The 22,106-nt window shown below is 35.9% G+C and overlaps 1 protein-coding gene across 18 annotated transcripts in view; it reads right to left on the reverse strand.

The window, feature by feature from the left end:
* The window catches only part of ROBO1 (roundabout guidance receptor 1), a 1,170,760-nt gene continuing 1,148,871 nt past the window's right edge, over window positions 218-22,106 (reverse strand). For all 18 annotated transcript variants that reach the window (XM_017006982.2, XM_047448664.1, XM_047448661.1 and 15 more), the window contains 5 exons: window positions 20,614-21,020; window positions 17,627-17,779; window positions 9,712-10,020; window positions 3,092-3,288; window positions 218-1,906 (listed from right to left, as the gene is read on the reverse strand). In XM_017006982.2, coding sequence (XP_016862471.1) covers window positions 1,892-1,906; window positions 3,092-3,288; window positions 9,712-10,020; window positions 17,627-17,779; window positions 20,614-21,020 — 1,081 coding nt within the window. In that variant the 3' untranslated portion in view covers window positions 218-1,891. The remainder of the gene's footprint in view (window positions 1,907-3,091; window positions 3,289-9,711; window positions 10,021-17,626; window positions 17,780-20,613; window positions 21,021-22,106) is intronic.

Below are 22,106 nucleotides of genomic sequence, written 5' to 3' on the forward strand. Positions count from 1 at the left end.
TCACTTCTAGGTCTTGACTGATCTTACATTTTTAATTTCAGAGGACTTAGGTAAAATTTTGCTTACAGTAAAGCCTGGTTATTCATACAACTAATTGAGAATTTTCACTCATCTGATAATACAGGGGTGAAATGTTAAGACAGAACGACTTTGTGATTAAATGGAATAAATTTGATCAGCACACAATGAAAAAAGAAATCAACACAAGAAAGAAAGATGTATTTGAGAACATTTTTAATAAATAATGTGACAAAATTACTTTTCTGATTATTGGATTTTCAGTATGCAAAATTATGGCTAAAAATAAGGGGCTTCTTACATGAACATAATGAAAACATTAATCACATGGATTGTTCCCTTAGTACTGCACGCCTTTTCTATGGAACTTTTTCAAATTATCTAAATGAACAAGTTTGGTTTTGGTGAACACCAGCCTTTTTTTTTGTGGTTCAGTTTTGTTTGGCTTTGTTTTCCACTGGGGTCAGACCTGATACTTATCTATCTATGAATAAATGTACATTTTTTTCTTCAAATAGCACCAATTATAAAATCAATGATATTCATAAAATGACAAAAAAGGATCATAGAAATCTACTAGTCAGAGGGCATCATTTGTCAATTGAAAGCAAGTAATGCCTCTATTAGAGATTTTAAGGAAATCTTGTAGGTTTCGACATTGGCCACAACAAACTTAAACCTCTTTTTTTCTTTAAGTCCAGGAAAAGTAAGAACCATTTGGTTCATGGCCCACAATAAAGTATGCATGTTACTTCACCATCTGTCATTATTCAAATATTCCAAATACAAACATAGAGCATTAACAAAACAGGTTAAAAACGCTTCTCAACATTTTTTTTTTCAATAAGACAAAAAAGGTTAATAGTTACAATGGTTTACAAATAAAGTTTAGTGATTGTGCTTTTAAAACCAAAAAAAAAAAAAAAAAGAGAGAGAGATTAAAAACAGTGCATTACAAAAACAAAAATCAAACTTCCTTAAGTGGCACTTCTGAAAGTTGAACTGACACTACCAGAAGAAATTTAGGCCAGTTAAGACAGGGATGTTCTTACTCAATTGGTCATTAAAAACATCCACTTGTTTGTAATACGTATTTATAATTACTTTTTGATGATTGAAAAATAGAACAAGGTTTTACTAGGTTTACTTATGACAATGACTAGACAACCAGAGATCCAACTGGCTTAGCCCTACTTATCCAAAAGTACATTTCCAATAAGAATATACTTCAATGATTGAAATGAAGCCAAAATAAAATACCACCAGGGTTTGCAAAGAGTAAATATTTACAATGTTTCTACCCCATTCGAATTGTTTGTGGTTCTGCATTTGCTATATTTTTAGTTTCTTCCAGCAAAGGGTAGTATGAAAAACTGATTTTGAAATCATGTTAAAATGAAATATGTTTTAATTTGCATTAGCAGTTGGCTATAGAAAGATTATACTTTGAGAGCCCTTGTGAGGTTGAATATCAACTTTCTATATTTGATCAATATCTTGCTATAAATTAGCTTGGCATATAAGCAGTGCAATGCCATATCTCAGCGGCAAAATGCAAAAGAACAGTTTTGTTCCCTCTTGCTGGCTGATGACTGAAGCAAGAAGTCAAAGCACTTTGCTTGCTGGAAGTAAGGTATAATGGTTTGCTCCAACAGCGAGGGGAATAGGAAGGCTCTTTGTAGGGTTAGGGATCAAACAACAACAATAAAAACCCAATAAAGTTTTTAAAATGATATCCCAATAAGAGGAATAAAAACGACAATTTGTACACTCTGATTGCACTGAACATTTTATCTGGCGTCATGTGTCATCTGACAGGAGGCATCTTGAGTGATGATTTTCACATTAGATCTCATAAGCCTCTTGGTTGTCTTCAGCTTTCAGTTTCCTGTAAGAGATACGTTATTGTCACATTTGAAAATAAATCTTAAGAGGATTGTGTTATATTTATTTATATGCATTTATTATTATTATAATTTAATGTGTCTTTTCATTTATTCAATGGACTATGTTGGAAAGGGCTCATGTCAACTAATTCATTCATCAACCTTAATTGGTCTTCACAGCAAATTCAACAAGTACCAAACTGGGTTCTGCACAGTGCCCCGGTGTTGCGTGGTGGGACACAGGGCTCTGAGAAGCGGGAAGGAATGTGTTGAGTTATCTAATCCCCTCAGCCCCAAGTCAACATTACAACTCTGCTTTTGTTGGTTTTAAATACTGGAGTTAACAGTAAGGCCATTCTGTTCCCCCAAAAGGCTACTTCTATTTTAAAATAAACTAAGACCTGAAAAACAACTTCTCTGTTTGCAGGAGGAAAGTCTTTCTCATTCTAAACCTCAAAATCGAAATACATTGAGCTTTATAGGACTTTCAATTAGACATAATGGCCTATACCTTTTCAGCTTCTACTATAAAAAGTTGTCATTTGACACGTATTTATCTACTTGAGTTTAACTATATTTATTAAAAAATTTTCCTCAACTTTTATTAAATTGAGAAAATACAATCTTTGAATGGGTGAGGGGAGAATTTATGATATGTCAAGGCTAACAAGAGAGTATATCTTTGACGTAAGAAGTTTCCTCCAACTGGGGAGGTCAGTGTCACAGACTAGGCATACACTTTCAGAAGTGTAAAGGTGAAGGACAGTTAGCCAAACCAGCCACATTACCCTGGTGCTGACTATGGCAACTTCCTCACTCACATCATATAACTCTGTCATCTTACTGGGTTTTTATAGCCTGCTACAATGCTATGAATTATAATAGCTCTAGATCAACAGCTCTTACTTCTTAACAATGTGTTTGCCATATATGTTTCTTATCTGAAAATCTGCAAATGAAGATAAACCCTAGCTAAACAAATAAACTGCCATTAACATTTAAAACTTTGGGACACATTTCAAGAAAATTCTCAAATTCTCAGAACTTCAGTTTCTGCCATCATAGACATTAGAGTACTGAAAAGTTTGCAATAAAACAGTAACATTTCTGTACACTGATGAAGGTTCCTAACTACATAAAACAACCACAGTCTAACATTGGTAAACTTGGGGAAAAATTATAGATACCTCTAATTCTTCATTATTATCTTCTCCTCTTTCATATCCTCCAAGTACCTGCATTTCTGCAATATTTCTTCGACCTACATTTGCTTGTTCTCTTTGTCTGCTTCCTGATCCTCTTGATGACATTGAGCTTGAGGAACTGGGATCTCTGGGATTATTTGATGTTGGAAAAGTAGGTCTACAATAAGGTAGAATATCCTCTGTGTAATGAAATATAATAAATGCAGGTGAGTACCATCATACACTTTCACTGTATATTGTATCACTCCTGTCTATCTGTAATTCTGAATAAGGAAGCATCAGTGATTTAAGGTATAAATGAGGACACTCTATAAGCATAATGAATAATGTAGCATAGTGTGTTGAAAATGAAAAGTATAAGCCTTGTTGTTTTCCTGTTAGTAGTCAGGGATTTGGATTGATTCCACTCATAAGCTCTTGTCCATCTCAAACTCACTACAGACCAATATCATTAAAAGAGGTAAACCAAACCTGGAGTCAGACTTGGCTTCCAATTCTGTCATTCACTATATGATCTCAGATTATTTTAGGCTTTAGTTTCTACTTTTCCAAAAAAAGTGATGATAACATCTATACCTAGAGGGTTTCTGTCAGGCCTCCGTTCACATGGACACGTGAGACAGTTTCTTAGTGTTGATATGAAAACAGATGAGATAATAAAATATCTACATAACTTATAAAATGTTATTATAAGGAATTGGTAAAAATCAAGCCCAGTCTCCTAGAAATATCAAACAGAACCAAGCCTGGTTTCACTCCACAGACACCAAAATATCAACCTCCACGTCAATGTCCTATTTACATTGTGGAACTCTGAATCTTAGAAGCCTGCTATTGTTGCTAACTTCAATAAGCAAGCCACTCCAATTAATTTCTGTCTCCTGAATTTCTACCTCCTTAACTGCTTGAAAATTTGGTGCTACTTCTACTGATGCATCAGCCAGCTGCTCACTTCTCTCCAAAGTCTGCCAACTCTGCCTTTTAGATGACAAACACATAAATACCTAACTCTTTGGCATGCTTTTCCCCACCTCCCCCAAATGCTTCCTCTACTATTCACATTGCCTGAGTGAAGCCTGATTTCCCTTGAAGTTCCCGCTGACGTTCTCTGTAGTGGAAGGGTAAGGCAGAAGGCTTCCCTCTAGCTCACCATCACCAGTTCTAAATTATTGCTCCTCTATCCTTGCACAAAAACATCTCCACCTCTGAGGCCCAAGCCATCGTTTTCTGAAGCCAGTATAGTCTTCCTTGATAGCGTCTTGTTCTTTCCATTCTACTCATCACAACTTTCACCCCTAACCCACAGTTCTGACACATAGGAGTTTCACAGTCCATGAGGATGACTGTTTCTGCAGCTTCTCTTCATAACACTTGATACCATGTGACCATCATCCTCTGTCTCTGTTTCATCAACAGCTTTCTCTCTACTGACTTTAGTTTTCTCAAACTACAATATGATAAAATCTCTCTCTTACTAAAAACTTTCCCCTTAAGACTGTGCTCTCCATGAAATCAACACCTTCTTTCTTTCCTCACCACTCAGCCAAGCTTCTTGAAAAGCAATTTGGATTCAATATTGATAGTCACAATTCCCATTCATTCTGCATCCCACTGAAATCTATTTATGCCTACATCACTACTATGAAACTGAGAAAATTGATAATGCTAACCGTGTTTCCAGCCTTGTGTCCCTGGACTTCTTACTGCTCTTAATCAATGCAAATATTATTCTCTCAGCTGCTAGCTTTCCTTCCTCCCTGGTCAATCTTCTGTGAGCTCTTTTTATGAAGCACCACAGATATGCTGATGCTCTACAGGTTTCTACTTTCAGCCTAATGTATATAATTCATATATATGTATAATATAATTATATATACGTTATACATATATGTATGTATATCATTCATGTGTGTGAGTGTGTGTGTGTGTGTGTGTGTATATATATAGATGAATGATATAGTTTGGATATTTGTCACTGCCCAAATCGCATGTTGAATTGTAATCCCCACTGTTGGAGGTGGGGCCAGGTGGGAGATGTCTGGATCATGGAGGCAGATACCTCATGGATCGCTTGGGCCATCCCCTTGATGATAGGTGAGCTCTTGCTCTGAGTTCACACAAGATCTGGTGGTTTAAAAGTATGTGGCACCTCCATCCCACTCTCTCTCTCTCTTGCTCCTGCTTTCACCATGTGATGTGCCTACTCTGCCTTCACCTTCCGCCATGATTCTAAGCTTCCTGAGGTCTCCTCAGAAGCCAAGCGGATGTCAACACCATGTTTCCTATAAAGGCTGCAGAACACTTAGCCAATTAAATCTCTTTCTTTTATAAATTACCCAGTCTCAGGTTTTTCTTTATAGAAATGCAAGAATGGCTTAATACTACATATATATTATTTCTTCTACTGACCCTAGGTGATTTTACCCAGTCTCACAGATTATAACCCTTTCTAAAATATAACTGTCATAAGGGGAGGTATTTTGTATGCTTTGCGTGCTGATATACTTTCATCTTGACCTGTAACACGTCATTAATACATTGTTTTACATTATTTTCATCATGCTGAATCATTAATTTATATTTTTAATTCCTAAACTATGCCCCAAACCTTAGGCTCCTATAGGCACCCCAGCTGAACCCCTACTCTTACATGTTCCTCAAACTCAACCTGTTGAACATTGACCTCACAATGCTCACTCCCTTAGATATCTTCCTTTGCTACATTCTCTAAGACAGTGAATGACATCACTAATCATTAAGATACGCAAGACAGAATATTGAAATTATTATAGATTCTTCCCTTTCAACAACCTTTCCATACATCTTAAGTGTATCCTTTCCACATGGTCCAACATACAACAAGTAAGTTTGATTTTGACTCTAAAAAGTTTCTTGGATTTTCTGAGTCACCCATTCTTGCTCCTATAACATGGTTTATATTTTCTACATTTCTTGTCTGGGGGTTGCACACATCTTCAAACATCCTTGAGCTATTCCCCTCTAAACTGTCTTCACTCAGCCACTTTCCTCTTATAAAATATCTATAGGCTTTTTATGACTTAAGCCTTCATGTACCTCAAGAGCTTCATCTTTGACCACTTTTATTATGTAGTAGTACTGAATTTCTTACAGTTCCCTCAATAGACCTTCGGGCTTTTTATGCAGATTATCCACCTAAATAAATCCTCTTTTCTTAGGAAAGAGATCTTTCCTAACATTCTCTCAGAGTCCTGAGTGAATTCTCTCTCTTCTGGACTCTCAAGTATCATGGCACTATGAAGGTTATACTGAACACAAAAATATCTATGAATTTATAGATTATCTGTCCCTCTCTCCCTGACTACAAGCCCCTTGAAGTCAAGGTTTATGCTTATACATAAATCTCAGGATTTAATACAATGCTTAATAACACAGTAGGTGTTTGATATATGTAGAAATAAATTGAACTAACGGAGGCAAATGTCAGCAAAATGATCAGAAATTCAAGTCCAAAAGACCACTCTCCTTAATGAAAAATAATCATTCATTATACACATAAATCAGGATACCTCTTTCACTATAAACAATGTAAACTGAATTATGAAGGTGAAAATTACAGCAATGCATAAAAATGATCACTTAATGGCATATATACATAGGGTTATGATCCAAATAAAAATTTGGAAAAGCAGAGCATATAAAATAATAACTCATCAGTGTACCTCAGTGATTTCCATGATTCCATGGGTTCCTTGTTTCTAGACTAATGGTCTAGTCTTACTTCGTTTGTTACAAATATTTTATAGCAGAAAGGACAACTTACTAAATTTCTGAAGATTGATTTTAAAAATTTTATCTCTGTTTTCTAAATCTGCATACAAGATATTTTCAGGTTTGTAAAATTTCCTTCTGAAGAATAATCTCACCTACTTTTTAATTTTTTAAAATATTTATTTATTTATTTATTTATTATTTTCCAAGACAGATTCTTGCTCTGTCGCCCAGACCTGGAGTATAATGGCATGATCTTGGCTCACTGCAATCTCCTCCTCCCGGGTTCAAGCAATTCTCCTGCCTCAGCCTCCCGAGTAGCTGGGATTACAGGTGCACACAACCACACCCAGCTAATTTTTTTATTTTTAGTAGAGATGGGGTTTCACCATGTTGGCCAGGCTGGTCTCAAACTCCTGACCTTGTGATCCACCCACCTTGGCCTCCCAAAGTGCTGGGATTACAGGCGTGAGCCACCACACCCAGCCAACTTTTAATGAAGCCTTCTTATAAGCAGGAATTGCTCCATACTTTCTGGCCAGATATAAACCTCGCAATTTACATCATCACATTCTATTTATGAATCACTATTTGGAGTCGAGTCACACTGAGTCAAAAGTTCAGAGCCAGATCAACTTTGGGTTAACTGAGAAAAATAAGTAAGTTTTTCAAGCTTTGGATTGTGGTGATATTATCAAGGACATTGTGGTCACACAATAGAGGCATCAGCCTGAAATGCACAGCTTTATTTATCACCTCACTTGTGAGTCTATGCCTGGATTAGGAGTTCATGCTGCAGTCACAGAACAAAGAGAAACTGCCCTCTGTGTTGAAAAGAAGTTAGCTAATGACCAGATGTCCATAATAAATACAACAATACACTGAGGTCAGATCTTACCACAATATATCTATTAAAATACAGTAGTTAAGTGCCCCTGTAGGTTTTTAAGTTTCATTCCCCTATCACTCTTTGCTGATTCCTCAACTAATAATCTTCCATTTCTTGTGTTTCTTCCTCCTACATGGTTTCTTCTCTTTAGTCTATAATAATGTTCAAATCCACAATCCTAAAACATTTCCACTGATTTGGCCTTTCTGTCAAACTCTATCCCAAGATTTCCTCCTCATCCCAAACTTCCAGAAAGAGCTTACTTGTGCTCATCACCTCCCTTCCAAAATTTCCATTCACTTTCCAACTCCATACAGGCTGGCTTTTATTCTAACCCACAAAAAACATATTGCAAGATCCCTTTTTTCCTCGCTTGGTTTACATTCAACTTTCACCACTGTGGTATTTTATATGCCTTCCTGTCTGAAAATTTCCCACCCCATTCTTTATAGGACACTATTTTCAATAGCTTGGATATCTTGATTATTAAATCTCTGGGTCGGTCAATCTGTTTCCTTAATAGGATGTTGATTATCTTGATTATCTGCCTACTCTCTAAGTATAATCATCCTGGACTAGTGGTGTGTTGGAGCAGGCTCAATATTTCACAATAGCTGAATATATTCATCTCTTCCTACCTCCACATTCAGTGACTTGAAATTGGCAATTTTGAGAGTATTCATACAACAGAAGTAAGCAAATGGCTACAAATTAGGGTTTGGTTTTGTTTTCTTCCTGGATAGCTGATTGATAAATAGTTACCGGCATTATCTCTGCTGAAATTCAGACTTTGTCATTCACATAATTATCACCTCTGTGTTGTGGGTTCTAAAATCCACTCTGTCCTCACAACCTTTCTCCTCACCTTTAAACCTAATTCTCTAAATTTTCGTTGGATTTTTTACTATCTGTGTTCTTGTTGGCATTTTAATCCATTCAAAACTGCAATAATTTTCCCCATGAAATTTAACATTTTCCCTGTTCTTTATTTTATTTTTTTTACACTGGTTAATACAATCATGTTTCACTGGTCATTCAGGGCCACCTAGTCAACCTATGAATAACTTTTTTTGTTTACTCTATTATTTCAACTTACCTTTGAACATTCAATTAGCCACCAAGTCTTATTGGGCCACTCTCTGAAGTGTCTGTACAGGCTGATCCTTCCTGTTCTTCTGAGCTATTTTAATTCAGTGCTTTCATATTTTATACTTAGAGTGTTACTGTAATGTTTCTGACACCTTCATCTACTGGTTTCCAGTCTCTTCCTTCACTGTATAGTGCTGCCAGTTATTTTTCTAAAACACATATCTGATTATGTCATTTCTCACTCAGAATTACTTGTTGGCTCACAAATGCCCTTGTTATAAATCTCAAACCCTTCAGAATAGTATCCCTGGCCTTTGCAACTTGGCCTAACCACCTTTCTAGTTTTATTTTTCACCCAGGCTACAGAACAGTTGTGTGATCTCAGCTGACTGCAGTCTTGACCTCCTGGGTGCAAGCCATCCTCCCATCTCAGCCTCCCGAGTAACTAGGACTAGAGGCATGTGCCAATATGCCCAGCTAATTTTTGTATTTTTTGTAAAGATGGTCTCTGGCCCCAAATATTCAATTCTCCAGCCAAAGTGGAAACCATTGTTCACCAAACATTCATTTTCACACATTCATGTTCTTTTCTCAACCTATTTATTTTCCCCAATATCCCTTCTCCCTCTTTAACCTGTGGAAATCATGCTTTCCTTTAAAATCTAACTCAGTTGGCACCTCTCCAGGTGATGTTGAGTATAAAGGCATATACTGGAGTGAACTGTATTAAAATTATTCGAGTACATGCCTATCTCCTCCACTGGAGAGCAAACTTCTTAATCTTACCACTTTTTACATGGCCATATAGAGCCTAACTGTATGCCTTGCAAACACACTCAATCTGTATTTATTTGCTGCTTGATTGGATGAGTACCTTGGATGAGATGAGTCTTTGCTGGTGGAAGGTCTCGTTTTGCTGCCTTGTTTCCACGTCCTTTCCCGTCATTTTGCTGTTCCTGTGCTTCTCTGGGATCACCTGGATTTGTTCGCATGTCAACAACCTGTCTTCCATCCAACACTTCTCTCCCCTTGTAACTGCTTCCTTTTCTGTCTGATGATCTGTCTGTTCTTGCATCCATAGAAGGGAGTTTTGGCACCACTACAGGTCGTACTTCCAGCTGTGTCTTGGATTGGGCAGTAGGTGACTTTATAGCAGGTGGCGGCACAGGAGGTGGTGGAAGATCTAAAAAGAAACATTAAAAATACTACTGTAAAAGTCTGCTGCTTATAAAATCATCAAACATTTGGATTATCATTGGAGCCACATTCACCTACGAGATACTATATCTTAGATGAACTAGAATACTTGAAGGTAACCAAGGAAAAATACCCACAATTTTTTAAAATTTATGTTTATTTATTTATTTATTCTGAGACAGGGTCTTACTCTGTCATTCAGGCTACAGTGCAGGTGCGCAGTCTCAGCTCACTGCAGCCTTGACCTCCTGGGTGCGAGCAATCCTCCCACCTCAGCCTCCCGAGTAGCTAGGACTATAGGCATGCACCACCACACCTGGCTACGTTTTGTGTTTTTTGTAGAGATGGGGTTTTGCCATGTTGCCCAGGCTGGTCTCAAACTCCTGGACTCAAGTGATCTGTCCACCTTGGCTTCCTAAAGTGCTAGAACTACAGGTGTGAGCCACTGCACCCAGCCAAGACCAACACTTTTAATGTACTCTTGTTATCTAGCACAGAACCATTGAATGACAAAGTTGGTACTTAGTGACATCTGCTCCTGGGATAGCTAACGCTGGGTATTTGTACTGTAACTTTCTCTCTCCCAAGTATGGTAGAGCTTCCTAATTGATTTCAGTATAACACTGCTAGTACCAGATGCATGCCTTTGCTCCTCAGAAAATCACTGCAAATTGATTGAGGTGGTACTTGAGTTGAGACTTATTTGCCATCTCTAATCTAGCCTAAATCTCTTCTTATTTTGTAGAGAAGGAAGCTCAAATATGTAGACCTTAAGCTACTGTGTCATCTCAAACCTAGATATAATCAGAACCAGGACTAACCAATGGTTCAGTGTTCTTTATATTACTACATTCAATTGCATGTTTATAATCTACTATTCATTGATGGCATCTCACCATTGTGTTTACGTACCCAGAGGTTTTAAACCAGATAATCACTGGTATAAATATATGTTAATTTCATTTACACACACACACACACACACACACACACAGTTACTTCTAGTTGTAGTTACATCTTAAGTAATACATATTACATATAATGTAACTTATATAATTTAATTTCTTCCCTTTTTTGGAGACAAAGTCTTGCTTTGTTGCCTAGGCTGGAGTGCAGTGGTGTGATCTCAGCTCACTGCAGCCTCTGTCTCCCATCAAGTGATCCTCCCACCTCAGCCTCCTGAGAAACTGGGACTACATGCCACCACACCCGATTAACTTTTGTAGTTTTTGTAGAGACAGGGTTTCACTATGTTGCTCAGGCTGGTCTCGAACTCCTATGCTCAAGCCATCCACCTACTTTGATCTCCTAAAGCACTGGGATTATAGCTATGAGCCACCACACCCAGCCTATAATTCAATTTTGTATATCATAGATATACTTAAGAATGAAAGTAGTCATAAAATTTGATATCTAGAAAAAATTTTTTTAATCAGTGCTATCTTTAAAAATCATTCCTCCGGGGAGAAAGGAAATATGTATCCTAATATTATTTGGTAATTTAGTAGAAGAATAAGAGTAGATACTAAGTTTCGGTTATTCCGGCTGCAGTATGGGGAATGTATTAATAAGAAAAGCTTCAATTCTGGAGGTCAAGAGATTATTATAATAACTCACATAATTAATGATAGGTGATAAAATGTTACTGGTGTCTGTTCAGATGGAGAGGAAAAGATGTGTTTGAGATTAAGGCAGAAAAATCAATATTATTTCAGGATCAATGAAATACAGTACAGGGGTGGGGGGAGGAAGGAATCTAAGATGACTTTTAGGATTTTTGTCACAGTTGGCTCGGTGAATGAAAAGAACATCACTGAAGGTACAGAATGCAACAAAAGGGAGAGTTTGTGAAGGAAGACTGTAAGTTCAGTTTTAAAAAAGTGAATAGGAGGAGCCTTTGGAGTATCAAAATAGAAAGGTACAACAGGTATTTGTAAATAAAATCTGACTTTCAGGAGAGATCAAAACCAGAGATACAGGGATTTTGGAATTATCAGCATAGCTATGTTTTTAAGTCATGTCTTTAGAAATGGTAACGTTTTCACATTTCTAGAATAATGTCTAGAATAAACTAAAACACATTCATAAAACATCTATTGCATGCTTAGTATTATAAAATTAGCCTTAAGATTTTAAATTAAAAAAATACAAATTTACATGGTAAAAAATTCAGTAGGAGTTTAAACTTGAAAGAACAACCTCCGTACCTCCCCACCTCCATTTCAAATCCCTAGTATTGACTATGCAGAGGTAATGGGCTTGAATGGTTTTCTATAGATCATTCCTGAAGTTGTTTATAAAGCAGGGCTGTCAAGTCTCATAACTGCAGGGAGCACCGTTCACATCAAGGACTATATAAAATGGCCACACCTGGGATGACACAGAGTACCTGTCTTCCCATTCACATGTGGTGACCAGATAAAAAGGACCACACACACACAGAGACAGCCTTCCTTCTTTACCAACATGAATGGATTGCGCTTTTTTCACCTAACCAGGTAGTTATACAGATTTCCATATGTGTACATAGGGCTTTACTCTTTTTTGGAAAAGTTTGCCTAATGTTATATTCTATGACTACATCACTATTTTTTAGCCAATCCCTATAGAGAAATATTCTGGTTGTTTCCAGATATTTTATTATTATTGACACTGGGCCATTGACCATCATTTTCATGTATCAGCATGAGAAACTGTTAAATATTAAAATTGTGTTTTGAAGATTCTTAGTATAACAGCAAATTCATGGCCCTAAGAAGCATCAGTTTTAACCTAGTATTTCTCATAATTACATATTTTTAAAAAATAAATGAAACTTTTTTGTTCCATAAATATACAATTTTTTGAAACTTATTTTCTTTTGGCATTATATGCTAAAGCTAAGGTGTTAGAATTCATTGTATTAGTTTTGAAAACAGACAGTCTGAGTTGCCATCTTAGTACCTACCAGCTGTTTTACTTAGGAATGATTATAAGAAGTGATCACACTTTTACTTGCATTCTTTTGTTAGTGGTTTTCATGGCTTACCATGTTCGAGTATCATATAAATAGACTCAACAGTTTAGCCAAAATGGTAGCCAATTATAGCCAATAGCACTAATTTTCCCTCTGATTTTATAAAATCAAGTTTTTTTGTCTTGCAAGATAGATCGACAGTGTCACAAGTGTGTTTTTCCTCCTTTGTCTACTACTTTAACAGATTTTTCAAAAAATAATACATAAAAATAACTACTATGATGTCCCCTCCCTTGATGTTACTTATTATTAAAGATAACCAAAAAGAGAGAGTTAGAAAACAGGCTGTATCAAGTAGCCTAAAGCCAAGGGACCCAAGGAAGAATGATTTTAAGTTCAGACTGAGCCTGGGATTGGCAACAAGGGGAAAAAAGTCTAATTCAGAACATACCACGAAGCAGAGAGAGTGAGTGACTGCAGGCTCATTTCTGCACTATCTGCTTGCTATAAACTTAAATTGGATTGCGAACGCAGATTATCAGGAAGCTGATGACTGCCACTATCATCAAATCATAAAATGTCTGGGCCTTTAAGATATCAAAACTGATGACTACCACTATCTTAACATCATACAAAGGCTTGGGAATATATGACTCATGAGACAAAATCTGTTACTAGATGTTCTAGATAGGTGTTATTTATAACACAAGTTAAAAAGAGAAGAGAACCTGATGATAATTTAAAGAATTCTAACTTCCTATATATATTTGTCACTGTACCTAATTGACAATTAGAGAGGGAAATGTTGACAGGTTTGATTTCTTATATAAACAGATTGCCAAATAAATTCTTTCTTAGGTATTACAAAATATCACCAAGCAGGGATATCTCTGCCTATGAGGCCAGGGATTATTATAGTATAAACAATCCCATATTCCACATAGTGATATATAGTGCTTTCACCCAATTTGTACCATGAGTAGTACAAATTGGATTTCACAAATTGGATTGTGGACTTGTTTTGTATGTATGTGTGTAGACTTCATGTAATCTTATAAACACTCATTCTTTCTACAAGACTTTCCAAATAACAGTATAATGCATGTAAAGTAACATATAAGAACATACGCATTCAGACAATTCTGCCAACATTAACCTGCTATAGAGATCCAGCACTCTATTTACTTGACCGCTTCAAGTCCTCAGACCTTGTAATTAATGATAAATCAAGTCAAAATAACATCATTCCAAAGAGGGTGGTGAATTTATAATTTATGAAAAGTAGGAATGGAGAAATAATGTAGATTTGGTTTTTAAATCAACTATGTAAATGCATTAGAGAGGTTGAAGAGAGAGGATGGAAAGAATCTATTAGAAGGTCCTAGAAATGCACTTATTCCTGGCTTTTACTCAATAAGACTCTGGCTAATAAATATTCATATATCCTAATCCTACCCTTTATCTGGGTTCAACTTGTAAGAGGCAAATATGGAATAAATAAATCATTAGATACCGCCTGTCAGTGTGACTGTAGCATGCAGCACTCTCCTTTGCATCGAGTTCTCCCTGCGTGCTTACGAGACCTTGGATTTGACCGCAGAGCAAGGTTTGGCCACAATGCCGGGTGTCAGGGGCTGGTGCACTGTTATGGGCTGAATTGTGCCCCCTTAAAATTCAAATGTTGAAGTCCTAACCCCCAGTACCTCAGAATGTGACTGTATTTGGAGTCTTTAAAGAGGTAATGAAGTTAAAATGAGGTCACCGGGGTAGGTCCTAATCCATAACTGATGTCATTACAAGAGGAGATTAGGACACACACATACACTGGGGGAAGATCAGGTGAAGCACAGGGAGAAGATGGCCGTCTCCCAGCCAAGGAGAGAGGCCTCAGAAGAAACCACTCCTACTGACACCTTGATCTTAAACTTCTGGCTTCCAGAACTGTGAAGAAATAAATTTCTGTTTTTGAAGCCACCTGGTCTATGGTACTTTGTTATGGCGGCCCTAGCAAACTAATACAAGGATTAACTGAGAAGGATCATCGCAAATTACTCTTTATCCGTTCAGACATGGCCACTCTTTATCCTTCTTTATATAGTTTTTAAAGACTCTACAAAGGAATGTCATAATCTGAACAAAATTTACAAAGTAAAGATGCTACAAAATCAATACTGACAAACCATATTCTGAACAATAGTTCACATAAATGTATTGACAATAATCAAACTCATCCATCATAATCCATACATTTTGCCCACTAAAAAGAAAAAAAACCCCACAAAATCCTTCATGTCTTACAAATATGTTCAATTCACATTTTAACAATCGGTAGCTCTTTAAATTTTTTCTTCCTCTCCCTTCTCTTTTTTAATAAATTGTACCAATTGTGTCTGCCATTGAGCTTCTTCATGAGTTGGTCTATGAATATTTTTTCCAAAAATGCAGTGTAGTACTTTGGGAAAATAATTTCCGAAAAAATGGCTTTTGTCTCTACGTCATAACCACTGCCATCCAGCGTGTCTGCATTTCTTTTATTTAGTGCATTAACAAGAATCTGCATTATATGACTTTAATCAATATGCATGATGGGATATGTATATAATAAGACACAGCATTGTTATTTTGTGTTTCTTTACCAAACAGTAAGCATTCAGCATAAAGACTTGTTAGTACAGTAAACATAACTTGAAGGATAGTTACCAAAATATTGAAAGAAAGTGAATGCTGTAATAGCTTTAGTCATTTCTCCATTTTATCTATTTTTGTGACTTAGAGAAAATAATTATTGGCTTTTACATTGCAGTATACACTATCATAATTTTGCATAATCACTTTTGCGGAATGAGCAATTAGAAATCCAAATAAACATTTCAGATTAACTTTTGGCTTCATAAATATTTCAATATATGTCTTTGGTATTTCTGAAATTAATTTAAAACATAACTTGGAGGCATCATCATTCAATTTAATAGTTATTATTCAGGGATTAGTTAGAATTATATTTAATTATTAACACTGAAACAAGTACTACGGAACGTGGGACAATAAATACAGACAATTTTCAAGCATAGTGTAATTTATAACTGTGATACAATATTCTTTAACTTGGCATGCTTACATTATTTAAAACATTTTTAAAAAGCATCACTCAATGCCAGATTCCCCTTTGAACAAGTATAAATATGTGGTAGAAAGATCTACACAAGGCTTTAGGCCAGATTTTCTCCCTTATGTATTCAATTTAGATGTGTTTACATCCAGGCTTGATGTTTGGTCAGTTTTTCAGTGAGAAGCACTCTCTTCTAGATAATAAAATTTGATAAAACAGCCATAAAACTTGAAAAATGCCATTCTGGTGGTCCCATAAATGTAAAATTGCTGGTAGAGTTGGGGGATTTATACCTAGTGTTTGTCCCTTCACAGAGGCAAACATGCAAAAAGCCACTGTAATAACCCTTCAAAATCAGATAATATTCTGACAGCTCAGTTTTACTAACAAAAGAGTCCTGGGCAGAAGCCAGGAGGCCCAGGTGCGCTGTGTCACGCCAGTATTTAATGTAGTCTAATATCAGATAGATGCCAGTGAGAGAAAATACTCAGAATAAAGTATAGATAATAGCATGGACAGCCACTCATTGCAAAATTACTTGTGCTCATCATGCTGTGAGCTTTGTATTAAATTCTTCTGTCAAGTGGTAGGAATCATAGGGAGAAGTACCTCAGAAAACCTTCCTTGCAACCTTGGATAAGGATCTATAATATTAGGCTTTCATATGATAATGGCAAATGATGCCCTTTTTGAAAAATTGCTGACTGGTAATGAAAGTCCTAATCAGATTTTGTTGCAGAGGACCAGGAGGTGGGGGAACTATGCCTGTAACATCCTTCCTCCTCCACCCCTTTAGCAAATGTAGCAAACTTGACAACAGCAGTGAGTCTGAGAGAATTTATCTTACATGAATTTCCAACAAAGCCTGTGGGGTTGTTTTATAAAATGAGAAGGTGGTGGTTTAATAAATGCTGGGCCACCTGAGGCACTTTCATTAAAGGCTTTTTCTAGACAAAATCACACTGTTTGCATTTTCCTCCTGTGCTCCCTCGAGAATATGAACGTTACCTCTTCAGTGAGAGTGGATATTGTATGTGAAGGCATGAAGAAAGGTGATTTATCTTTTGATGCCCAAAATAACTGTTCGTAACACCACTGTTGTTAGAATTAATATTCAAACACATTTACTGTCTTCTATTTGAATGCAAAATTGTAAAATAAAAAAATGAAGACACTTTGGAGGATTTATCAGTAAATCTGACAAAGGTTAAACCTATGCCATTACTTCAACTATCAGTTTCAACTACAGTGATGTTCATTTGTTTGAAACTATAAAATAACTTTCAAAAATATTAAGGATCTACAAATGGTTTTGTTTTTTTAAATAACAAGCTTATCAGAAAACTGCAAGGAGTAGAGATGCTTGACAAAATATGTAAGTAGGTCGCTTCTATAAGTAATATGAAGCTGATTGTTAATAAATTTTTAATGTAATTTCTAACGTCAGTGAATGCATTTGCTAGTCCTAGAGAGGCAGGGTAAATAGGCGAGATTCATAGACGTTTTCATCCGTGTCAATGGACTCACCATCTGTGTAGGTTTCTCTGCGCAGATGTCCTGGCTGGTGTTTCAGTTTCTTGGCTGGTCTGGTTTTCTGCATTACGGCGGCACTCATGTTGCTGTCTGTAGACACGGGACTTGTGGGCCTAGGGCACTGAGACGCATGAAAATGTCGACGGCCTAAGGAGAAAAAAAAAAAAAATCCAAGCCAAACTCATCAGTGAATTTTAATTACAACAGGAACAACAAAAAGAAAACATTAAAACCAGAAACAGCTTTAATTTTTCTGAAAAGCAACAAAAAAAGCTTAAACAAACTCTTCCAGCAAATAACAGGCTTGTTGTCACTCTGCTATTTACTGGAAAAAATACCCCAAAAGCATTTTCTGCTTATTTCATTTGTTTTAAACCGCAGTGCTTTTATTCTGTTAAAGTTCATGATACCTATTTATTAAAGAAAAGTATTCCAATTATTTTTGCAATTAGCTTCACTAAAACGTTATACTTAAACAAAAAATAGTAATTAAATGTTTGCATAATATAGCCAATGTTTGTTGCTTTTTCAAAAGAAGAGCTAAAGTTCTTAAGAAATTCATGTTCTAAGAAAAATGAACAGTACTAATGGCACCCATATTTTAATTAAACATATATTTATAGTATACTTTGAAGACAGACTCAGGTGTATTCTCTTCAGGTGGTCTGAAATTGATCTAGCTCACATATTTAGGTCTGCCAAAAATTACTTACATCTCTTTTCTATCTCTAAATATTTGCTAGTTCTGGATACTTAACGTGATCCCTCCAAGACTTCTGTTTTTTTTGGTGGTGGAAGAGGTAGATGTTTGGTTTTGGAGAAACAATAATCCCAGGTACCAGTGGGAACTGAATTTACTAATTAGACATGGCGTATTTCAAAGCTCCCACGTTCTCTGGTGCCTTACATAGATGCTGTATTACAACACCTACAACATATTTAATCCATAATCCCAATGGAGATATATTGGTCCTATGTTTGACTTTCACTGTTTTGGTTTCTAGAAATTCTAGTCACAAATCCAGAACTTTCTACTGTACCACAAGAAACTTCAAATGGACCGCGACAACATGTCTTTTGGCTATAAACAGAAGCCACATATAGTGCAATCAACACATTTAAAGATGATAACTGAAGCATATTAAATAATATACATTAACACAGCCAAGTGAGAAGCAGTGTGATTGGATATTCATATTAACTTCAAGTCACATGACAAGCACCGTCATTCCCTGAAAAGACACTGCAATAAGCAGAGGCCAATGCATGTTTAGTTAATTAAAATTATGAGCTCAAGGAAAACCAGAAGTGCCATTAAATTACAAAACAATAAAATTTTAAACCAACCTCTCTTTAGCTATGATGGAGACTATTACAATTAAAGTTACATATCCATGAAAACAGAGAATTAGGGCTGAGACTGAACCCATTATTCATTCTACTGTGTAAGGCCATCCACTGCTCACAGACTCTGAGCTATAAGGTTGTTTACAGATGAATTTTCAATGTTATTTCTATGTTTCGTCCATTTAATAAACTGAAATATTTTCTAACGTATTCTCAAAGCAGTGGTTTGAGATACTTAATTTCACCATTTTTTACAGAAGGTTAAAAAATAAGGAGAAAACAAAAGCCGTATGTAAAGTTAGATGTTATTTATTTATTAAGAAAGATAATTAGGTTTGCATAGTTTATTACATTCAGCAGCTACTAGAGGAATAAAAAACCATATTTGATTGAATGACATAAAATATAGGCCTGGCCAAAATAAATATATATTCTACAATAATAAGTTGAGAGATATTAGAAATCTTTTTCCTGTAACACATTCTTGATAAATAATATATAGAGATGACTTTATAATGTAATTTACATTTTATCTGAATATATTCTACACTGATAAAAAATAATGGCCAATCCAATATGTGAAAAGACCATGGAAGACTACCAATGTGGTAGTTATTAAATTAAGAAAAATAAAACAGTAAAATACCAGTAACTGACTTGTTGTGATGGCCTTTTCCTTCTCTGAAATGTATCTCTTTCTTGCTGATCATTTCACTCTACTATTTAGATTTTCTTGGCTATCAAAAATATAAACACACAAAAATATGTATGGGAATGTATATATTAATTCTACAGAAATGAAAATCATGTGATAAATAAGTCTTACATTTAAATTCTTTTCTTTCTTGAACTATTTACTTTCTAAACAGAATTGGGAAGAGGAGGAGATAAGTAAAAATATGTTGTAACATAAAGATGAATATATGGTAATTAAAAATGGGTTACTAGCAATGAAAGTAAAAATATGAAAAGCACTTGGTTTAGCTTGCTCTCCCAATTATTATATTTAAAATGTTTACTGTAAGTATGGAACGTTTATGCTTGAAAATGTATGCACATTACATATACCGTCATATCTTCCCAATTAATATTCTAATTTGAGAGGACATAAAGAGAATGGGAATTAAGGAGAAATAGCCCATTTTCCAAAGGTCAAAGTGATCTACTTGGATATTTATGTATTTTCCCTACAGAATTTTTATTTAAACAAGAGAACTATCACAACAAATTTGATTTTGGTGAGGTTCTACACAAAAAATTAGAGTATACATTCAAAAACACAAACTTCATCTAATTGACTGTATGTATAGTTTAAAGAAATTATATCAATTTGTGTAATACGTATATTTGCTATGGCTATCCTAAAAAATGAGGTAGCTCCCTATCACTCATATTATGTAAGATTTATTAAATAAAAACTAAATAGAAGATTTAAAAAGCCTTGTCAAGGAAAAGGGAATAATCCAACTAAGTCATATTCTTGGACTGTCATTTCCTTAGGCAGCTAAAAAAAAAAAAAAACTGTAAGAATAGATGCTTTTCAAATAGGACGTAAGATCATAGGACAGAATCAGCAACAAACATATATACATTGAGTTTTCTTTCCCAGCTTGGTGAAAAGTGTTAGGACTCACCAGCAGCATCCTGCATTTGCCGTCGTGCTACTTTCAGACCAGCATACTCTGCCGCTGCTGCGACTGCCTGGGCAAAGTCAGCATCAGTGAAAAAGGAGCCGTCCGAAGAACTAACACTGGAGCGTCCGCTGGAAATGTTGTCCTCCTCTGAGGCTGAGCCCCAGCCGTTGATCATGGACCCCGTGACAGAGCTCTCCAGGTCCCCAACACTGGAGGCAGGTGTCTGCTCAAGCCCACGTAACAAAAGCCTTCTGGTTTGCATCTTGGCTACCTCCATGTCGGCTTCGTCTTCTTCCTCTTCTGGCGCATCCGTATCCATATCTGAGACCAGGGGTCCTGAAATGTAGCCATAGGTATGTGGAGGGGAGATCGGCCGTGGTGGTGGAGGAGGACTCACAGGCTGCCGTCTGTATGAAGATGAATAAATAGGTCTGGCTCAGCTTGTTATTTAAGACATAAAAGGACAAATTACCCAAGAAATTCACAAGCATGCAGATTTGACCTTTACTTCTTTTGAGCTCATATGTTCAGAAAAACAACTGAATATCACAATATATTTAAGTTTGATTTTATATTGAGTTGCACTTCGCAACCAGAGGCTCCACCGGGTTACTTTCTGATTCAAGTTTAATAGAAATATAGTCAGTTATCTCTAAGCCTTCTTATGTTTTATCATTTGGATTATGTTTCATGAAAAAAGGAAAAGTAATACTTGTTTTGAAAACATACACATATGTATCTGTCCTAAAGCATTTCAAATATTATCCATAGTTTATCATTACTGAAGACAACTGACATTCATCCTGAAACACTTTGCTCCACAAACATCTGTTTCTTTCCCTTTTTTAAATCACCTCTCCTACTTTTTCAAGCAAATGAAGTCATTCATCTTCACTATAAAGAGTAAAATTTCATAAGATTTAAAAAAGCACACATTCAGCATATGACATAATTTCCTTTAGATTTTATTCTATTAAAAAAAAGCTATGGAAGCCAAGAGTAATTCTTCTCTGATTTATTCGCTATGAGTTTCATTAAAGATCATTAACTATTTTTAACACTATTGCATTTATTGTTATTCTATCTTTTTTAAAAATATATTTAAAGGTATTTTTTCTTATGTCCTGGAATTAATTTAAGAACCAGAGTTGAGGACAAAATGAAGTAGTCTCCCAAAATATAGGTAAACAGTTACCAATTAATTGGTTTCAACCAACTCTCTGCAGACATGAAGAATAACAACAGCTAGAAGCCATCCTTCCACTAACACCACTAGGGCTATGATCCACAGTGAATAGATGACCGAGAAGGTATAGAGCATTTTGACTTTAGTAGGAAGCAAGATTCGTGGAAGGAAGTCATCCCCATGGGAGGAGAATGCTAAGAGAATAACTCTTAAATTAAAAGAGTGCCATCAAAAAAGGAAGACATGGTTGGATTTCTAGTTGGAGGAGTCCTTGGTCAGTGACTTGCTCAACAGTCCTAATATTCTC

The sequence above is a fragment of the Homo sapiens genome, chromosome 3 (assembly GCF_000001405.40).
Source record: "Homo sapiens chromosome 3, GRCh38.p14 Primary Assembly".
Taxonomy (NCBI): domain Eukaryota; kingdom Metazoa; phylum Chordata; class Mammalia; order Primates; family Hominidae; genus Homo; species Homo sapiens.